Source organism: Homo sapiens, chromosome 9 (assembly GCF_000001405.40).
Source record: "Homo sapiens chromosome 9, GRCh38.p14 Primary Assembly".
Taxonomy (NCBI): domain Eukaryota; kingdom Metazoa; phylum Chordata; class Mammalia; order Primates; family Hominidae; genus Homo; species Homo sapiens.
Genome location: NC_000009.12, coordinates 6,214,852 through 6,237,252, shown reverse-complemented (window position 1 = coordinate 6,237,252; position 22,401 = coordinate 6,214,852). Strand labels below are relative to the sequence as shown.

The window sequence follows — 22,401 nt, the reverse complement described above, 5'->3', positions numbered from 1 at the left end:
TATCAGAAATATTTCAGAACATATGGCAATAGGAACATCACTTGTTCTTTTTTGCTGCTATTCCCAATGATATACAGCAGATATCCCTGCACACTGGTTATGATACTCACCTAATTTATAAAGTGCTGGTCTCAGATGATGAGGTTTCCTGTAGTCAGCAATTGTAGTATTTAAGGCAGTTACATCCCAGTTCTACTTATATAGACACACACACACATGGATTAAGCAACATTGGATGACAGTATTGATGTATGAGGCAATGCAGATGGAGCTACTTAAATGCATTAGAACGTGTGGGAGCTTATCTTTTTCCTACCGTCAGATCCTAAACAGAGATTATTTTAGCTGTAGCACTTTCATTTTATTTATTTATTTATTTTTTGAGACAGAGTCTCCCTCTGCTGCCCAGGCTGGAGTGCAGTGGCACGATCTCAGCTCACTGCAGCCTCCACCTCCCAGATTAAAGCAATTCTTCTGTCTCAGCCTCCCAAGTAGCTGGGACTACAAGGTGTATGCCACCACACCTGGCCAATTTTTTTTGTATTTTTATAGAGATGGGGTTTCACCATGTTGGCCAGGCTGGTCCTGAACTCCTGACCGCAAGTGATCCTCCTGCCTCAGCCTCCCAAAGTGCTGGGATTACAGGCGTGAGCCACTGCACCCGGCCTAGTTGTAGCACTGTCAAAGAGTTACACTTAGTTAATCATTAACTTTTATAAAATCTTTGCAATATAGGCTCTAGGCAGTGTTTATTGCATAACATATAATATAGAAGGACACAGATTGTTTAATTTCCTTTCTCTTTTCTACAGAAAGTTGAAAACATTTAAAGTAATTTTTTTCTGATTATAAAAAAGATACATGTGCACTTAGAAAATATGTAAATGACAGGAAAGTGTATGCGTGGTAGATCCTGACATTCTTTTTTCTATGTAAAAAATTATACACATCTCTTTTATTTAAAAAATAGAATCATACTGCAAATATATTTTAAGCTTTTTTTTGCATTTTCCAATTAACACTATATCATAAATATTTTCACATATTAGAAACATTCTTTTACAAGTAACATTATAAATAGCATTCAATCATAGAAATATATCTTAACGAGTCTTTTATTGATTAACACTGGCTGTTTCCAGATTTTATTTTTGTTTTTGTTTTCTAATATTGCCAGTGTTGCAACTGACAGTTGTGTGTGTGTGTGTGTGTGTGTGTGTGTGTGTGTGTGTGTATGGGTGTGGGTGGGTGTGGGTGTATGTTGTGATTCTTTGAAAATATTTATAAGTTTATTGGTAGCATAAACTCCTAGTAGTGGAATTGCTGGATCAGAGGGTACATGTATCTTATAGCTTGACAGATATTAATGAATTGACTTCCAAAAACTTGTATTAATTAACAGTTTTGTGAACAATCCAGGGGAGTACCCTTTTCTCCATCTTTCTAGCAACAATGAGTGTCATTACCTTTGAAATGTTTGCCTTTCTAAAGAGTGTAAACTATCTGATAGTTTTGAATTTTATTCCTTTATTTCATGAGATTGAGCATCTTTTAAAAAATGTGTATTGTTAATTTCTATAAATTATTGATTTTAAGGACTCTACCTAAACTAAGAAATTAGACCCTTGTCTGTGATTTGTGTTACAACTTTTTCCCCTGTGTCATTTATGTTTAGATTTCACTAATGGCATTTTTTGGCCATACATAAGTTTTCAAATATTATGTGGTAAAATATAATCAGTGTTTTCTTTGAGAACTTCTGGTTTTGTGTTCTGCTTCAAAATACCTTTTCTCTTCCAAGATTATAAATAAATTTACTTATGATATTATCTAAAACTTTAATGTTTAATAGTTTATACATAAATCTTTGATTGACTCAGTGTTACTTTTGGTATAAAGAATAAGTCAGGGCTGGGTGTGTGTCTCATGCCTGTAATCCCAGTGCATTGGGAGGCCTAAGCAGGAGGACCACTTGAGGCCAGGAGTTCAAGACCAGCCTAGGCAACATAAAGAGATCCTGTCTCTACAGAAAAAATTTTTAAAAATTAGCTGGACTGGGTGGTGTGCACGTGCAGTCTTAGCTACTTGGGAGACTGAGGTGGGAGGATCACCTGAGCCCAGAAGTTTAAAGTTGTAGTAAGCTCTGATAGCACTATACTCCAGTCTGGACCACAGAGTGAGACTCTTGTCACCAAAAATGAAAAAAATAAAGATAGTGAAAAAAGAATACATTTGGGATTTTTTTTTCCTTCCAAATACATACCACAACTACATTTGAAATTCAGTTCAGACAAAGTGAAGTTTCACATGTTATGTTGGGACCAGTATGCAGAGGACTATGAATGCTACAATAAGGAGTTTGAATTTTATCCTGTGGACAACACGAATCTTTTGAAAGTTTCTAAAGCAAATGAGAAACATCATCTAGAGTGTGTTTTGTGAATATAATTTTATGTCTGTGTGAAGCACCATCTGAAGGAAGGAAAGAAGGAGACGGAGGCAAAAAGAATGAATAGTTAGGAGGCCAGTTAAAATATCCCAGGCAAAAAGCAGTGAGGACCTAGTGAGGGCAATGTTAATGGGACTAACGAGGAGGGGATGGAATGATGAGTGCTACAGGTACTTCATAGAGTCCTTGCAGGTTGGTGTGAGTAAGGGCCCCAGAGATTCCTGTTCTGTACCACTAAGTCATGCAGTTACCAAGTGGCTGAGTCAGGATTAAAACCCAAGTCTCACTCCCAGTTTAGGGGCACGTCTGCCACAATGCCTCCTCGGCTCTTTCTGGATGTGGGTGTACCTGCTCTGGACTGGGGATGAGGGGAAGCAGGGTGGTGAAGGGAAGTGGACATAATTCCAGTGGTTAATAATAGGAAACTCAGGTGGGGAGTTCAGTGACAGGGACAGGGAATTAGTTTGATGTAGGGCAGATGGAGTTTGAGGTACTTGAGGAACAGTTATATGGACATTTCAGCAGGGAGTTGGAACTAGGTGGCCAGAGGCCAAACTTAGCCATGTGGATTTGCTCTTCATTTGTGAAGGCATGATAGTTTATTGTGTGGGAGTGAATGAGATTGTCTTGGCTGAGTGTGGAGCAGGAAGAGAAAGCTGTAAGAAGATGAAACTCTGGAATATCTAACATGTAAGGGGAAAGAGGAGAAACGAAGTTAATAAGAAGACCAGACAGAGAAGCAGAAAAAAGAAGAGTTCATATTATGAAGGCTAAGAGAGAACACTGTCTCAAAAAGCAGGAACAGTTGGTAATGAGTACTATAGAGACCTGGTTGAAGATTAAGAGACATTGGAGGAGTCATTTAAGTATGGTGGGAATCTCAAAACAACTGCACTGGACTGCGCAGAGTGGAGAAGGAGGAAGTAAGACATTTCCAAGAAGTATAATACAGTAATGAAAGGGAACAAAGAAAGAAAGAATGGTATCTTTACACAGTAGTGTGGAGAAGGGAAGATGCTACTTACTAGCTAGGTGACCTTGGACAAGTTGCTTGATGTCTCTGAAGCCTCAGTTTCTTAATAATAATGAAAATTTTCATAATAACTGTTATATTACCCATAATAATTTCATAATTTAACTCATTAGGTTGTTGTGAGAATTAAATGAGAAGATATATTTTCAGCGCTTAGCACAGTAGCTGGTGCACAGTAGAGACTCAATATGTTTGTTATTATTATTGTCATTAATATTGAGGTTTATATTGGGATGTGATAGACTCTTGAGTATGCTTCAATGCAGAAAGAAAGTAGCCAATGAAAAGAGGAAAACTTACATAATATTTCCAGAGGAGATACAGAAGAGAGGGGGAAAGAACACAAGTGGAAGGATCAGCTTTGAAAAGGAGGAGGCACACTTCTTCCTGCAGTAGAGGAGGAACTAGTGAGAGAATGAGAGAAGATGTGAAGTTTTAAGGTCTAGGGATGTGAACTTAAGGGTCTTATAAAATGGCTTCAATCTTTGTAATGTAGGTTCTGAAAGAGACGGAGATTAAGAGAAATAAGCATTGGTTTGAAGTTTTAAGTATAAGTGGGAAAAATCTGAAACAGATCCTTAGAGAATATAAAAAAGAATTAACTTTGGAATGTGGTGTTATTGTTCAGTGAGCATAGAGTTTCAGTTTTGGAAGATGAAAAAAATGTTCTGGAGATGGAGAGTGGTTATGGTTGTACAACAATGTGAATGCCACTGAACCGTACACTTAAAAATGGTCAAAATGGTAAATTTTATATTATGTATGTTTTACCACAATTTTAAAAAATGGTTCAAAAAGGAATTTTTTAAATGGGAGTGGAGGAAGTAGAAAGATGGGAGTTTGTTCATAAACAGAAGAATTCCAGTGTTCCTTATCTTAGAGAGAAAGATGTTCTGATGATGATGGTGGTCAGAATGAGATTTTTTGGGTGAACTGCTGAGGAGTGTTAAAGAGTCAAAGCAGTCACTAAGGGTGACAACAGCAATGAAATCACCAAGGGTGACAGCAGCAGAGGCAATAGTGAACAGAAAAGGAGGTCAGGGTCCCTAGTGACCAGAAAGGAAAGAGATTAGTTTAAGTAGTTGGGCCCAGGGTTGGGGATGGGGTTAGAAAGGCTTTCTCTACTAGCCCTGGGAAATGTGCACACAAGAAAATGGAGTGGGTTTTAAGAATATGGCATCACCAGGGGAAAGTCACATTTTAGATAATCATAGGAAATAGTGCTTTTGAAGGAAAAGGAGGGAGAGAGTAAGGAGTATGCTTGTGTGTGGGTGGGGAACATCCCAGAGGAAATGACATACATTTAAATTAGGGAAACAACCTGAAAGATTTTAATCTGTCAAGAAATAATAATTAAATAAAATAATTTAAATAGAAATTTATTAGTTGGTCATTCACCTCTGAACAACAACAACAGTGAGAAATATATGAGGTATTTTCATTTTCAAAGATGCAAATTTGCGTAGTTTTCTCTTTGGCTGAAGAAATCTTCCAGAAACTTACATCCAACAAATATTGAGCACCCTTTGCATGCCAAGGACTATGTATTCCACCATCATTAACTCATGGGGTGCTGCATGAATGTTTTCATTTCACATTGTCATATTATCTACATCTGATCAGCTGGAAAATCATTTATTGAATCACTAACCTCTTATATGTCAGACAATGCTCTTTGATTAGCAATTTCCCACTTTTAAATGCTAATACCTTTAAGAATGTTAAGTTGGCTGTTGGACTTTCTTCTTTTATTGTGAATTTTACTTTCAAAATAAATTCATTTAATCAGACTGATTTGCTGTGATGAGTCTTGTTACAATGCTGAGTTTATGAGAAATTCTTACTAAAAATGCATACTCATTGTGGAAAATTTAGATAATACAGAAAAGAGAAAGTTTGACCTTTGATGTCCTAGAGAGTAAATTCTCTGAAAAGAGACACAACTGGGAATGATTGTAAGGAAATCCTAACCTCCTCGAGATCCTGAGGGCACAAATGATGCTGGATTTGCATTTGCTTGTACTACAGCATGGAGTGCTGCCTAAAAACATTAATAAATAAAATACTACTTCTAGTACTGGGCTAGGTGCTGGGGATACAGTACTGAACAAAGCAAACTGTCTTGCCCTCCTGGAGTTTACTTTCTATTGGGGAGATAGAAGTTATTCACATAGTTGTACAAATATGTTATTAATGAACAGTGATAAAAAAGAATTGGACTGGTAAAGAAGATAAAGTAGAATGGTACTAAGGTAGTGTAGTCAGAGAAGGTGACATTTAAACTGCACCCAAAGGGCGTGAGGAACATATGAAAGGGAAGAGACACAGGGAAGAGAAAACCTCAGGGGCAAAGGCCCTGAGATGGACAGAAGCCGCAGTGCTCAGTGAACAGAGAGTGCTAGTGTGGCTGGAGCAGAGCGGGCAATGGGGAGAGCATAATGTGAAGGGGCTGTAGAGAGAAGGGGACAGAAGCTTGGTTGGGCTGGGCCCTGGAGGCCAAAGGAAGAAGCTTGGATTTCATTCAGAGTGCATTGAGAAGCCAAAGAAGGGTTTTGAGTAACATGGGATGTGATTTGATTTTTATTTTTAAACTAGTGCTGTGACTATCATGTGAGAAACAGATGGAGGGCAATAAGAGGGAAGGGATGAGACCAGCCAGGAGTCTGCATTAATTCAGATGCTTAATAATGGTGGTTGTGGTGAAGATGATAATGATGATAGTAGTAGCTGCAATGTTTGGCGTCTTCTGTAAGACTGATGCTCTATGTATATTATCTCTAATGTCACTGTGTTTCTGGAGTTTGGATATGATTGTCTCCCTTTTAGAAGTGAAGAAATAGTGGCTCTTGCAAAACGTCACATAGGTAAGAAGTAGCAAAGCCAGAATCTGATATTAGGGCTATCTGGCTCTTTCTCTTAGTTCATGGAGAACATTGGTAGAATGGGGCATAATTGAATCCCAGGACCTTATATTTGATTCATCTCCTTGTCAAGCTTGGTTTCTCTTGAATGGGAAGAGGATCTATGAGGATATAGTGGGATGAATGAACATATTGCTGGGTACTGGAAGCAATACCAGTGGAATCAGTGGAAGAAGACAGGTCCTGGCTGATAAGGAGAGGAAATGGGGATTATGACTAAGTTTGCCAACACAATATGACTTCATTCTGGGAGATTTTGCAAAGGGGCAGAAGTGGAGGAGAAGCGGGGGATGGGAGCACAGGGGAGTGTGACACACCAATCCTCTACTCCCTTGGGTGTAGCAGTTTCACTTCTTTCTTAAGGGAGATTAGAATACATGATATGGAAAAAGGGAAGATAGAAGTTTGGGGAATAATGAGACAGCACCTTCCTCACCCAATCTGGATCACTTCCTGTCCCCTACCCTCCACCACTCTGAAAGTTTCCATCTGCCACTTTCCTGGACCCTGGGGAGAACACTTCTCCTAGGGAAAGGAAATACTCTATAAAGATACCTAGTAGATCAATCTATGACTCAAGCCAAAGCCCTCGTGAGAAGAGGGAGGGATAGTGTGAGATTTTAGGGAAGCTTTGTTTTATGTCTTTAAGGTAAACAGTACTTATCACTTGTAAAGTACTTCTGTGCTTTGCCATGGTTTTCCTGGATGTGGTCTTATCCAGTCATTTCTATACATTGGCACTACCTGCCCCATCAACTTTTCCAACCTTACTTACCCCTCCCTCCATACTCTCTACATTTAGACCAATTAGACTGTTTACCATTCCTCAATTCACCATGCACTTGCACACCTTCATGGCTTTGCTCAAACTATTCCTCTTGCTAGTGCTACCTCATCCCTTTGTCTGGGAAACTCTGTTTAACCATTGGAGGCCAATTCAAATGTTTTGATCTCCCTGACAACCCACAATCAAGCCGACTTTATTGTTTCCTCTCTCCCTTCCTTATCTATTATATATATAATAATAGATCCAACTCTGTTTGTTTTCCTACCTCCTCCACTGCTAGGTCCTTGGGAACAAGGGTTGTGCTTTAGTCATCTTTATTTCCCCAGAAATTATCCACAGCAGGCACTCAGTAAATGTTGTGTAATTTGGATCAGTGCTTACAGAAACCCTATAAACTAAGTAAGGCAGGCATCATCCACTAGACAGATGTGGGGACCCTACCCAAATCCCAAAGATCTGCAGAGCAGTGGAGGTAGATTCCCTGGTTGAGCTGTTATGAAGCTGGCACTACTTCACCATTTTGACTTACAGAAATGACAGTCTTAAATGCCTCAGTCTAATAGAACGCACGTCTTCTTGTTCTTGGGTCAGTGCTCTTTGTAAAGCATTTTTAAAAGCTGACTTTCCAGCTGGCCTGTGGCTCTGCAGTTTTAGTGTGACTGAACATTTCAAATTATTCAGTACAAGTTGTTTTATTCCCCTCCTGGGCCCCCTCCCATGCCTCACATACTTTGAGGGCCCCAGTGGATCAAGTCTGTAGTAATCTTTGAAGAAGCAAAGGTAGATTGGCATCCCCTTCCCAAGCTTAGACCTAGGATTTTCTCCTTTCCCTCAAGTCCCTACAGCTCTCCAGGTCTCAGTTTCCTTGTCTTCAAAACAAGGAGGGTATGTGAAAGCCAGCATTTTCCTCCTTGACTCTTTCCTGTGCTCCTGTACAGGTTCCTCATTTAGCTCATTTATTTCCTTCTCCCAGGGCCCCTTCTATACTGGCAGCTGCACTAGCCCCTTATTCACACAAAGGGTACCATCCTCAGAAAACACACAAATTCTGCCTCAGCCTTGTGATCTCCTCTTCTCCTTTCTACTAACCTTACAGCAGGACAAAATTACAGTGAAAAGAAAAGTCCACAGAGTCTGCAGCATTTTTTGGTTTTTTGTTTTTACTTGTTTTTTTCTTTAGTACCCAAATATCTGAAAGCTGATTTTTTTTTTTTTTGAGTCAGTGTTTTGCTCTGTCACCTAGGCTGGAGGGCAGTGGCATGATCATTGCCTCACTGAACTCCTAGGTTCAAGGGATCTTCCTGCCTCAGTCTTCAAGTAGCTAGGAATACAGGTGTGTGCCACCACACTCGGCTAAATTTTTATTTTTGTAGAGACAGGGTCTCGCTTTGTTGCCCAGGCTGGTCTCGAACTCCTGGCCTCAAGTGATCCTTCCACCTTGGCTTCCCAGAGCACTGGGATTACAGGTGTGAGCCACCATGCCTGGCTGTTGTTTAATGGATTCAGAAAGTTCTCACTGCTAGAAGAAAGCAATGTATGGAAAAAAAAAAACAACATGGAACATAGAGACCTTTGGTTTTAGTTTAACTCTAAAGTTGAGATCATTTTCTTCTTTTACTTTTTAAATGCATTTTACATAAAATTGGACAAGTAATGTAAAAATTCTGAATCTTGTAAAAATTCAAAGGAGTATGAAATACTTAGCAAAAGCATGTAGAGTTAAATAAAAATTCTCCTTTTTTTGTTTTTGTTTTTTATTTGAGACAGAGTCTTGGTCTGTAACCAGGACTGAAGTGCACAGCTGATTGCAACCTTGAACTCCTGGCCTCAAGTGATCCTCCTGCCTTGGTCACCCAAAGTGCTTGGATTAGAGGTATGAGCCACCATGCCTAGCTCTCCTGTATTTTTTACAATTAGCCCTTATATAGTGTTTACTATGTGCCAAGAACTGTACTAAGTGCTTCACATATTTAACTTATTCAATTATTACAGCAATCTTGTTAGGGTAGCATTATTATTATCCCTCTTTTATATATGAGGAAACTGAGGTACAGAGGGATCAAGTAAATGCCCAAGGCCTCATAGCTGAAACCCTAAGCGAACATTTTCAGAGTTCATGAGGTACTTCAGGAAAGGGGTGGAGGAATCCAAATCCGTTGCATTCCAGATCTTCCTCCCTAGCCCCTGCATCCAGAGCAGAAAACCCCTACCTAGAAAGTTTTCTAGGTAGAAGAGGTTTTACTGGTAAGAAAACAAAATTAAAAGTTTGAAAATATGTCATTAGGCCCATTCCACCTGAATTATTTGACCTTGTAAGGAGGGTGATAGACTGAGGCTCAGTTCATATACCATCAGTGGTAGTCAAGCTAGAGAAGATTTAGTAGCATTATAAGGAGAAAGCATTACACTTAATGGTTGGAAGAAGTTTTCAAAACTTTGTAAAGAGTAGAATCCTTTTCTGAAAAAAGAATATTGCATGGAAGCCTAATAGATAACAGAAGACAAAATCATTAACTTATTAATATAAATATGCTTCATAAGTTTACATTTATATTTACTCATTATAAAGTTATTTAATGAAATATGCTGTTTCCAGCATAATAATGGGTTAGTTACCATGAACAGCCCTCCTGATAAAAACAACCAAAATGCTGCAAGATGTATTTTTAAATATCTTTTCAAACAACATTGAGGGGGCATGAATGGGAGGCTAGCAAACTTGGCTTTTTTCTAAAGTTGTCTACTATATCCTAGAGACAAAGAGGAAGAATTACATAAAGAATCAGGACCAGGAGATAAAGCTTAGGATATGTCTAAGATGGAGAGTCTAACAGTAAACTGCTGCATAAACCTGGACTCTCAAAGGGCTACATTCACAATAGAAGGGTGATCAAGATAAATAAACTCGGCAGAAGGGAATACCCAGAAACCTTGTCTGTCTCAACTCCAGCCCTTGCTGGAAGGAAACACATATCTCTAAGAATTTACCTTCTCAGGACAAGTCAGCCCCTACATGGCTTTGTAGTCTGAAATCAAACTACTTGTGTGCTTCCAAAAGCCTGAAATAGAAAATTAAGTATAAAGTAGTTTTAGGTTGGCAGTGCCCCAAGGCAAATACAAGTCTTATCTTGAAGAACTCAGCTGCTACACAAACCACCAAACATTCCCACAGAAAAGTCTTCAGGACAAATGAGTAGTCTGCAGTCAAAATTTGCAAAGCAAACGAGAATACCAGACACCATGGTGAGAACCCACAAAAGGAACAGGTAGCAGAAAGCCACAAAGCCTTTGTGTATTAGAACAAGCAGAAATAACTGATTTTAATATTGTTAGATAGTATTCTAAAAGATTGAAAATATGAACAGTGAACATGTATATTTGAAAAAGATCCAAATAGAATATCTAGACATAAAAGATATATTACTGAAATTAAAACTCAATGGTTCAATTAAACAGAAGATTAAACACAAGTGAAAAGAGTCAGTGACCTAGAGAACATATCTGAAGTATTCCTTAGAATACAATCCAGAGATACTTGGAGGTGGAAAATATGAAAAGAGGGTAAAAGACTTGGAAGAAAAATGAGACTGTTTTATAACTATTTGGAATGGTAGAAGGAGATGCTAGAACAGAGATGGAACAACATTTAAAGAAATAATGGCTGACAACATTCCAGAATTGTTGAAAGATCCTAATCCTTAGATCCAAGAGTTTCAATGAATTTCAAGCAGATAGAAAGAAAGAAAGGGCTGGGGGTGGTGGCTCAAGCCTTATAGTCCCAGCACTTTTGGAAGCTGAGGTGGGATGATCTCTTGAGACCAGGAGTTTTAAGACTAGCCTGGGCAACATAGCGAGGCCCCATCTCTTAAAAAAAAATAATTAAAAAAATTAGCTGGGTGTGGTGGCACACACCTGTAGTCCCAGCTGGTGGGGAGGCTGAGGTGGGAGGATTGCTTGAGCCCAGGAGTTTGAGGCCGCAGTGAGTTAGGATTATGTCACTGCACTCTAGCCTGGGTTACAGAGCAAGAGCTTGTCTCTAAAAAGAGAGAGAGAGAAGAAAAATCCACATCTTCATATATTAGTTATGAAATTGCAGAATATTAAAGAAAAAAAGTGAGATCAGCCAGGGCATCATAATGAGCCTTCATCTCTACAAAACGTAAAAAAGAAAAATTAGCTGTGCATGGTGGTATGTGCCTATGGTCCCAGTTACTCAGGTGGATGAGGTAGGAGGGTCGCTTGAGCTAGGGAGGTCCAGGCTATAGTTAGCTGTGATCACATCACTGCACTCTAGCCCCTGGGTGACAGAGTGAGACCTTGTTTCAAAAGGAAAGAGAAAAGAGAAGATTGTAATGTCAGTCATTGAGGACAATAAAACTATTTGGAGGAGGAAAAAAATCACCCGTCCAATATGGATGGAAGTTTACAGTCTTAGAGTAGCCCTAGAACTTGTGAAATAAACATTTGATATTTGCAGAACCAAGATGCTTCTTGCAGTCAACTGAGCATTATTAAAAACTGCAGAGGTGGCCTAAAACTCCTTATTTTACAGATGAGGAAAGTGCCACTCAGAGCCGGCGGAGGGTCTTCCCCAAGGTCACACAGCTAGTAAATGGGTATGTGGTGGAGCCAGGACCAGAACTCAGGTCTCTCAACTCACAGAGCAATAGTTGTGACTGCTCTTCCCTCTATCCTGCTGCCATTTCTTTATTCAGCAACAACAAAGAAAAATAAAATGTGAAGAAAAGTAGAGTTTCAGTTTATCATGGAACTTTTTGGTGATTCCTTATGTTTCATGTATAGAATTTAATAATTGTTTGAATAATTGTTACACAGGGCAATATCCCATCACCAGGAACCAATGAAACTGCTCACATTTTTTGGATGGGGGTAAGAGGATGCAGTCTTGATTTGTTTCCTTCTAGCTTATAACACAGTGTGAGGGTAGTGTGAGAAAGTTTTAGAAAATGTGATTAAATCTCAGTCATGGAAATCAGTTCTGGCACAGCATTCTGTAGAAGGTGGTGAGGGTGACAAGAGGTGGGTGCAAATCTCAGCATATACAAAGGCTTTGCTGAGAAATACACAGGGGAAAGGCAGGTGCCAAGCCACAGCATGTATTATATATACCTGAGTCAGTAGATCAAATAAATTCACAAAACTGTAAAAAAAAAAAATCTATTCTGCCTGAGTTCACTGCTTTGGACCTGGCTTGGATTGTTTTCTGAAAAGTTCATACCTTAGATCCACAAAGGAAAACAGTTTGCAAGGGTAGGTAATGCCGATATATCAAAATGTATCACCCTGTTTGTTCATGAAAAGATACTATTGCATGTATGTGCATGTATGCATGAAAAATTATTTCTATTCATAATTCACCACAAATACATGCCAAAAAGTAGGAGAGCATTTGAAATTGGCAACAATACAATCAAACAGATTGCTTAACCAAGGGTGAGAACTTGCCTATTAAGTCACTTTTGATTCTGGGAATAGTACCCAGATTCTAAAGCCTAAAGTGGTTTGCATGACTTAATTACAAATGCTAACAAGAATAGTTCTTTGGGCAGTACTCTAAATCCTATCAGCTGATTTGCTGTTTGTTTTGAAAGAGAAGCATGAGATTTTCAGATGGCAAAGCTTTGGATTTTGATACCCATCTTCAAAACAGGATGCAATATATATCTTTAAATTAGTTCCTTTGTAGAAAAGCAGGCTAATTTGGGTATGGCACATTTCTCAAACACATAAAACATTAATAAGATATTAATTCCAGATTTTACAGTTATATAGTTAGAGCCAGTGAAAGTGTGCCTAAGTTCTATTCCCACTACATAGATATGCCACTAGATGCTACTGGAATTGGTTCTGGGAGCCTTCATCTGAAGGCAGCTTTAGGAAATAGCAAGGAATAACAAGAGGAGTTTCTGAAAGGATGAATTAAGTGCTTATATAAATAGGGAAAGAAGGACTTTAGTCTCTAAAATTTAGGACCAAGAGAAGGGGTTGGCCTAGGACTTCTGGGAACATTTTTCTCCTTGAAATAAGGGGCATGTGAGGAGTAAGCGCTTCTTGGCTTCTACTCCTTTGGCTCCTCTGAGTATCTGATGCTCAGAGCTGGGTTAACCATTTTTTCCCATGAAGAGAGATCATAGATGCTCTGAGGATGGTAGAGTAGAAGGGTGGGAAGACCCTGAGTCCTTGATGATATCCTTGATTTTTGACACCAACTCTGAAACTGCCCGACGAAACTTCTGATTAAGCGAGCAAAAAGTGTCCTTAAGTTTTAAGCCTTGTTCAGTTCTGTGTTCCCCAGTTGCAGCTAAAAGTATATCAAGTGATATAAATTATCTTTATTTTTCATGTAAGTATAATCTGCATTGACTTTTTCTAAATCCTTTAAAGAAATGGCAAACAACTAATGTATTCTGGACATTGCCTTAATAATATCTTTATGGTTGAATTGTTTAAAACATTTTAATGTTTAAATAATGTTATGTTTTAAAGAAAATTTTAGTATAACATGGATATGTAAATTCCTGTGCTAAAAATCAAGAAAATAATATTATATATGATAGAAAAACATGATATATCAAAAAATAGAAAAAATAAACTGAAAATCTTTTGTATCAGAACAAGATTTTAAAAACTTATAAGTAACTCTTTGAGGTACTCTTTTAAAAAAAAAAGTGCAGATTACCAGTAATAGTACTGTTATTACTATTCTATTTTTGCAAAACAGTAAAACATCAGTTACGTTCATTTACAAAAAATTTTTGTGTTTATAAATTTGTCTATAAAATGATTATGAATATCATATACATGTAAATCATGCCTTAAGTCATTGTGGGACAAATAGTGACAAAATGAAATGAATTGCCAAGACTTTGAAAATCAAACTTCATAAAATTCTAAAGTAAAGGAAGGAAAAATAAACACAAATTCTTGGTTGTTACCTCTGGGGGAAACCAAAGGAGATGCAATTAGGTAGTGACACAGAGGAGCCTTCAAAGGTATAAGGAATATTCTATTTTTTAAACTGGATGATAAATACACAGGTATTTGTTTTATTATTTTTCTCCAGAACTTACACTTACATATGCGTTCCACATATTAGTTTATGTGTATGATATATTTCTGAATTAAAAAGCTTGAAAGAAAGAAAATCAATCTTCAGTTAACATTCTACTCATAAAGTCAACTGTTCCCTATTCTCCAGGAACAAATGTAGCTACCAAGTAAAAAAAAAATCAGTTAATACAACATCAACACTTTCAAAATTAAAAAGAAATTGCTGCCTGAAAGCAGGAATGCATTATTTAAAATTCTGTGGTTATATTTTAAAAGAACAAGTTGGCTAGTATAAAGGGGATTCCATGTGCTAAATTGTGACAATTTGACTAAAACAAAAAATATGTGAAAGTTTTTCCTTGTGCCAAGACTAAAGTTACAGAAAGCATAACTTTTGCAGGCTTTTTTTCTCATGTTTGAGATATGCTTATTGAATAGCGACAGAAATAACTGATATTATAGAACAGGTTATGAAAAGTTTTGTAAAGCATGTAATATATTCCACAACACTTTCACTGCCACACCATTCAACTTAGCTGGCATAGTCAAAAGCCAAAATGAGAGTCCCTCTCAATGCTGGTATTTAGCTGGTATGCTGCAAGGCTGGTTCCTTTCTTATTTCTCTTTGCTAATGCCATGCCAGCTATTAAATATTTTGAATATCACCTGGGTAGAAAGCATGAGATTTTATTGTACAACCAAATGGCTGCCTGCTAACACACAACATTGTTAGATGAAATTAAATTTGATTATTACAAGCCATTTAAAACTGAAGAGTACAGAGGCTTTCTTCTCATAGATATGAAACTTCCTGGTCATTTATCTGAATAAAATAAGCCACAATCTGCACCCTGGATATTTCATTTCCATAAAGTTTTAACAGAACTGCCTTGTGCGGTGATCTAAAAATGCAACTCAAAGGTCTGGAAGCTTGACCACCATGGTATGACAAGCTTTTCACTTTGCCTCCTTTGTGGGCTACTCCAGCTATTCCCCAAATTGCTGACTTCATTATTTCTCTGTGGAATTCTTAGTTGGCTCAGCCTTACTTACCTGGTAGCTGGGCTTAGTGTGAAAGCTACTAAAATGAAAAGACTCTGTTAAACACCTCTCTTCTCCCCAAAGATAAGGCTAAATTATTTTCCCACTCTGGACAGATATGACTTCTTCTTGAGTGTACCCACTGATGCACAGAGAAATAAATATAATTGGTAGCCTTTCCTTTGCCAAGACACTTTTCATAAAATATGTACAGCGAACTGCCATTCTAGAGGTTACTAGTTGCTGCATGGTTCCACCTAGATAGTAAGGAGAACCAACGGGTCTAAACCCAGATGCTCTTTTACCAGCTTTTGCCATAAATGCCTAGAAAAAAATTGGATGCTGACAAAATAATAGACTTCTAAGTTTTATACTTTTATGAATTAAGAAATATAAAGACTTAAAAATATTTTTTTCTGTCACATCACAGTGCAAATGACCTTAATGCTTCTAAATGTTGAATCTGCTTTCATGGGCCTTATAGCACTGAGCAGAAATTCTTCCACTTGACATAATGGAAAGTAGTAATAATTGGACAGCCAGATGTAAGCATTACCTGTCAGGTCCTAGGCACGGTATCCTCCAAACATTTTTTGTAAAACAGCTTATACTCCTTTGAGTTAATAGCATCTAATTTTTTATATTAAATGACCACCACATACTGACAATTGTGATTAAGTTTCCACAAACCATATGGCTCTTGAATAAGTCAGTGAAGAAAAAATAATGCCACCATACGTGCAGGTAATATGGACCTTTTTTCTTATGGGGGAAAAAACAGGAAGCTGGAGATAGTCACCAAATTACATCAGAATGAATATTGGTACTTATTTCTGTGCCTGAAACTTGTTCAAAAGTTTAGAATGAAATATTACTAAAGGAAACTTAACAATTATGGGTCAGGTACAGTGGCTCACACCTGTAATCCCAGCACTTTGAGAGGCTGAGGCAGGAGGATTACTTAAGCCCAGGAGTTTGAGATCATCCTGGGCAACATAGTGAGACCTCATTTCTACAAAATGTAAAAAAATTAGCCAGGTGAGGCAGCACATGGCTGTGGTCTCAGCTACTTAGGAGGCTGAGGTGGGAGGATAGCCTGAGCCCCGGATGTCAAGGCTGCAGTGAGTTGTGATCGAGCTACTGCTCTCCAGCTTGGGTGACAGACTCTGTCTCAAAAATAAATAATAATAATAATAACAATAACAATAATTTACAAATATGAAGCAGTTATGCTGACTACTGATCAAGTATTGTTAAACAGGATTGCTAAAGAATGTGGACAAATAATATATATGTATAAGAGATAATGGAAAAATAAAATTTAGGGAGGAAAAACTTTGGAACTAATAAATTCAGATTTGAGGAAGTTCATGTTTGGGTCTAATAATTCTCCAAAGAAAAGAACAAGTGGAGAAAAGCATATAGTCCCCTAAAAAGAAATTACAAACAGCTTAAATAGCATTTCTTAAACAATTGCCAGTAATAAGCCAGCAGGCTAAGAAGTTAGAGTGGCTGAGATTTGAGCACAGCAGACACACAAAACTATGAAGTTCTGTTAAACTCTAAGGAAATATTGAATCTTTGCTAGGAACTATGTCGGAAATAATGAGCAAAACATTCTTACCATTGCAAAAGGTCTCAGATGCACTAATATGGCTAGGGAAAATTATGACAATCATTTAATTTATGGAATGTTCAAAGTGGAGGGGAATTAGATGTAAACTGGGTGCTGATTAAAAGTAAAGCGCTCAGCCAAGTTTGTGGGTGAACTTCTTAGTTCTGGAAATAGCAATGGGAATGGCAAAAAAAAGTTACAGAAGAGAACAATGGCTGGCAGGAACTCTTTCCCTAGGGCAAAAGGTGAATGTAGCCCTGAAGGAAATAGACAGAAGGTTTTAATGTCACTTCATCAATATTTTCATATTTGAAAATGATGGAAACTTTGAATAAGAAAATAGCTTCACAAAGAGGATTAGAGATGCACTAAATGAAGTAGTTTGGAATTGTTCTTTAGTTCTTTTTTCTTAATGGGACCTGACCCTGGACTTTAATCTCTGATCTGAAATTTACTGACTTTATGATTTTGGGTTAGTATTAAAATCTTTTCAAATCCCACTGTCTCAATTTCATAAATGGAGATAATATTTACCTCACAGAGGTGCTGTGAGGGATAATGTGGAAGATAAATGTCTCACTTTTAGTAAATGGTCAGTGATTAATAAATTACCTTTGATGACTGCTTCTAACTTGTTTTACCCATCACAACACCTGTCTTGAGTGGGATTTTGTTGCTTGTTTGTTTCACATTTTACACAAGAGAAAAAAATTCAGGCTCAGGAAAGTTAAGTAAGATCCAAAATTACACAGCTGGTCAATGATGGATGATGGACTGGAGGCCTGACTGCCTCTAAAAATTTGTGTCTTTACTATTATGCTATACTGCACTCTTCACTTAAAAAATACAAAACAAAAATAAATACCTTCGTAGGTATACTGTAATCTACCGATAATAACATGAGCAGCATGTGCCAGGAGTCCGCTATAGGGAGGAAGCGCCCCCAATTCCTCACTCCCCCTTACCACTCCCTGCATACTGAACTTTGCCTGAACTTTTTGAGGCCCACTAAGGTTGTGTCCCCTTAAAAGTTACTTTTGCTTGCAGACATCAGCACCAGAGAATCTACAGGAAACCGAAGAGATTAGACGTTCTACCATGATTTCCTGAAGTTCTTGAACCCAACCCAATCATTTTGTTGTTGATAGAATTAAGGTCCCTTTCTTTCTGCTGTTTCAGGAGTTTATATTTGGTCTTAATGTTTCTAAATGTTCCTGCTACAAACTGAGATACAAAGAAGGTGAATTCCAATGAACCTCTTGATTTCCACCATGTTTGCCAAAATTTCAACTTGAATGAAAGATACATTGATTTTGGCACAGTCTGACTGACATCTCCAGAAAAACCCTTATGGTATCAGATTTACTGACATATAAATTTTCTGATGTAGACATATATATATATATATATATATATATATATATATATATATATATGGAGAACATATATATATATGGAGAACATATATATATATGGAGAACATATATATATATGGAGAACATATATATATGGAGAACATATATATATATGGAGAACATATATATATATGGAGAACATATATATATATGGAGAACATATATATATATGGAGAACATATATATATATGGAGAACATATATATATATGGAGAACATATATATATATGGAGAACATATATATATGGGGATATATATATGGGGACATATGTATAGGGAGAAAAAATATATATATAGGGAGAATATATATGTGTATATATATATATGCATATATATATTATCTCAATGCTGACCCTTCTTCAGTATTTCCCTGTAATGATTTAATTCCCTGATGGAGCTTAACTTTTCACAATTGAATTTCATGCCTATTTCCCCGAAGTTAGTTGTAAGCTCTATTTCCTTAATCACTGGGAAACCCTGGCCAAGAGTGACATTTCCTGTTTCTCAATCTCTTCCATTGTTTTCAGTTCTGGCTATTTCAATCCCTAAGTGAAAGTTTGCCTCAGGATTCTTTTCTCTCTATAAATGGGAAAGGGAAAGAGGTGCTTTCTGGCTGTAGATACTGTAAGCTAAACAATGATGTGAAAGAGATAAACATCTAGGTTACTTAAGAAATCAATTATGAAGTAACCAATCAAAGATTGGTAGAAGGTCCAGGATCCTTTCAGAGAAGAATGGAGAAAATGTGAAATATGAGCTGAGGAAAGTGCGATGCTTGTGCTAGAAGTTCTTAACTGTTTCAGACAATACCGAGCTGTGTGATTCAGTTCAATCACCCTAAACTTTGGGAAATAGAGGATTCTGAAGTTTTCTGAACTCAGAGAGGTACATTTTCTGGGTGGAAATCAAAAGAGGAGCATTAAGTATTCAAAAGACAAATTTGAGAAGCAATAAGTAAGACTGTTGGAAACAGTATAGGACCCCAGTGTGGCACAGAAGGATGCTTCAGCGGGAGAAGCACAGTGCAGAGGAGGAAATACGGGTCTTTGCCCTAGACACTTCACTCTCAAGTCTCTGACTTGTATGCAGCCACAGGACATACTTTTGGATTTGTGCTATTTTCTTAATTAAAATAGTCTGGAGGCATATATTCATGTGTGGAAAGAAAAGGCAGAGAAAATTGTGAGGAGGCAGAAAGCAAGGAATAAAGAAAAGAAAACAATCTTCAAAGGAAAGTCTGTAAATGAAGAATAGTAGCAAAACTGATGAGCTTTTGAATTTCTCCACTTAGGGTATCAATTCCTTGTTTTTCCACAAAAGTTTATTTTTGAGGGGGTGGTACCTCTCAATTCTTGTATTTGAAACTGACAGTGAGAAATAACAGTGAGAAAATTATGACAGTGAAGGAGATCTGACATAACCAACCCCCATCATGCTTTTAACTTCCATATTGCCTTTGGTCATTCCTGGGCTTGGGCCAAGCTAACTTTGGGAGAAATTTAGGGTATGGTTTAAATGATAATAACCCTTCACCAAAAGTAAACCACCTTGGTAAAAATAATGAAAGACCACCAAGTTAGGAGTTTGAGAGGGTCCTGAATTCTGCTAAGATGTAGGCATAGTAAAATGATTACTAGCCATGATTCTGGAGGTCACAAGATTTGCAACTTCCCCAGTGACTACTGTAAATAACATCACTATTGTATAAGCTAAGATTGACCTTCAGAGATGTCTGTTCAGGCTTTTGCATTTCTGATGACCAGTGACTACTCTGTGGCTCCCACCCAGAAATAGACTCAGTGCATACACGAGGACCATTTTTCACATGCCTGTGATTTTATTCCCAACCAATCAGCAGCACCTATTCCCCTAAGCCCTTTGCCCATCAAACTAACCTTGAAAAACCCTAGCCTCCAAATTTTTGGGGAGATTTGAATAATAACTTTGAATCCTCTGTGGCATGGCTGGCTGGCCCTGTGTCAATTAAACTCTTCACTGCCATGCCATGGTTTCAGTGAATTGGTTTTGTCTGTGCAGATCAGAGATTAAAGTCCAGGGTCAGGTCCCATTAAGAAAAAAGAACTAAAGAACAATTCCAAACTACTTCATTTAGTGCATCTCTAATCCTCTTTGTGAAGCTATTTTTTATTCAAAGTTTCCATCATTTTTTTTGGAGATGACATTTAGCTCTTGTTACCCAGGCTGGAGTGTAATGGCATGATCTTGCCTCACTGCAACCTCCACCTCCTGGGTTCAAGCGATTCTCCTGCCTTAGCCTCCCGAGTAGCTGGGATTACAGGTGCCCACCACCACACCCAGCTAGTTTTGTTTGTTTGTTTTTGTATTTTTAGTAGAGACAGGGTTTCATCCTCTTGGCCAGGCTGGCTGCAAACTCCTGACCTCAGGCGATTCACCCACCTCGGCCTCCCAAAGTGTTGGGATTACAGGCTTGAACCACCACACTTAGTGATGTCCCCCTTTTACTGAAAACCACTTGTAAACAATTGCAAGCATGTTTGTCTTGAGTAAGCATTAGGAGTTAGAAGTAGAATTATCAACTTGCTTTATAAAGTTTCCAGCCTGGCAACAAAGCAAAGACCCTATCTCTACATAAACTAAAAAAATTACCCAGGCATAGTGGCGTGTGCCTGTAGTTCCAGCTGCTTGGGAAGCTGAGATGGGATGATTGCTTGAGCCCAGGAATTGGAGGCTGCAGTGAGCTAGGATCACGCCACTGTGCTCCAGCCTGCGCTACAGAGCAAGATCCCATCTCTTAAAAAACATAAAATAAAATAAAATAAAGTTTCATGGAGGGGGCAGAATTTACTATAAAAACTATTACAATCTCTTTCAGCAATTTATTAATTTTACAAATCACCCAAAGGAAAGCAAATGGAATTATAAGTTAGTAACAGCTATTGTCATTGACTTTTACTGCTATTAGCAATAATAACAAATTGGCCTTATCATTTATTTTTCAGGAAAAAAAAAAAAACACAGTTCTCCATGGTTCCCAAGGTTTAACTTTGCAAAATCTGACTAAAAATCTCCCAGAATATTCAGTCTTACCTTGTGATCTTGTTTTGATTTCTTCCCTGAAGAGCTGCAGCTCTGTGTTCGGAGGAGTCTGTAGACTCTTTTTATTAGCCAAAGTTTGGCAGAGACCCAAATTGCCTTAGAAGGGAGATCTGGGCGGGTGAGATTTTAGCAGGCTTGAAATCTCATGTAAAGAGCCAACAGAGTTACAATTCTGTCAACATCTAAGGCTCACTACTTTCTGCGTCCTCCCTCCATCTGAATATTTTAAACCAGCAATTATGATTCTTCTTCTGCCCCTAAACTTTATGTTTTGGCTCTCTTTGGAGTTGAACTCCTAAACTTCAACTTCAGCACTGTCCATTTTGAAATTCTGTTGCCATTTATATATTCACTTTTGGCCGTTGGCTTCTTAATTTACAAACTTCATTAAGAGATCAGTGTATTCTTCCAAATTCCTTTATAATAGAAATTTGCGACCCCCTTTGGCCTATCAGTAATAAGCAGCTCGTCTGCAAATAAAAGCTCTGAAATACTCTGTATTCCAACATATCTGACGGGCTTTCCTGCTCCCCACTGTTCATCTTTTCTTTCTATTCATCTCAAAAATCTCGCAGAAGATAATACTTTATCACAAAAGCAAATCCTGTACTATAGATCCCATGAGAAGTTGTTCTTCTTACCTCATGAGAAATTTTGCTCCTACTCACCCTCTCTCCATCTCGTTTGGCATCTGTAGCAGAAAATAAAGGGATGAAGTAATGCTCTTTTAAGACTTGGACTGATTCCACATCCTAAGATCACACATTGGAAGGAAGACTGCTGCTGTACTTAGAAGGATATTGTGATGGACTGTTACCCTAGCAAGCCTCTACATCCATTCAATCTACAAGATTAGAAGGGTGACCTTGAAACAAAGGGGCAGCAGAAAAAAGTTTACTGTAAAATGAAATAGGAATTTTTTAGTTTTTCTCATGGCATGTTGAAGGATAGAATGTTAGGGTTCTGGAATCCAGGGGAAAGAGAAAATGAGA

General features: G+C 37.9%; 1 protein-coding gene and 1 long non-coding RNA gene across 15 annotated transcripts in view; one reads left to right on the top strand and one right to left on the bottom strand.

The window, feature by feature from the left end:
• Positions 1 to 9,021, top strand: part of LOC107987046 (uncharacterized) — a 100,037-nt gene extending 91,016 nt beyond the window's left edge. The window contains exon 3 of the long non-coding RNA XR_001746614.2: positions 8,958 to 9,021. This is a non-coding gene — a long non-coding RNA (uncharacterized LOC107987046). The remainder of the gene's footprint in view (positions 1 to 8,957) is intronic.
• Positions 1 to 22,104, bottom strand: part of IL33 (interleukin 33) — a 42,835-nt gene extending 20,731 nt beyond the window's left edge. For 5 of the 14 annotated variants that reach the window (NM_033439.4, NM_001314046.2, NM_001199640.2 and 2 more), the window contains exon 1: positions 21,401 to 21,446. The gene's annotated coding sequence lies outside the window, so the exon portion shown is untranslated. Of the gene's footprint in view, positions 1 to 110; positions 193 to 21,400; positions 21,520 to 22,050 lie in introns of those variants that run through there. The other 9 variants (XM_047424062.1, XM_017015285.2, XM_047424061.1 and 6 more) reach the window with 5 other exon arrangements.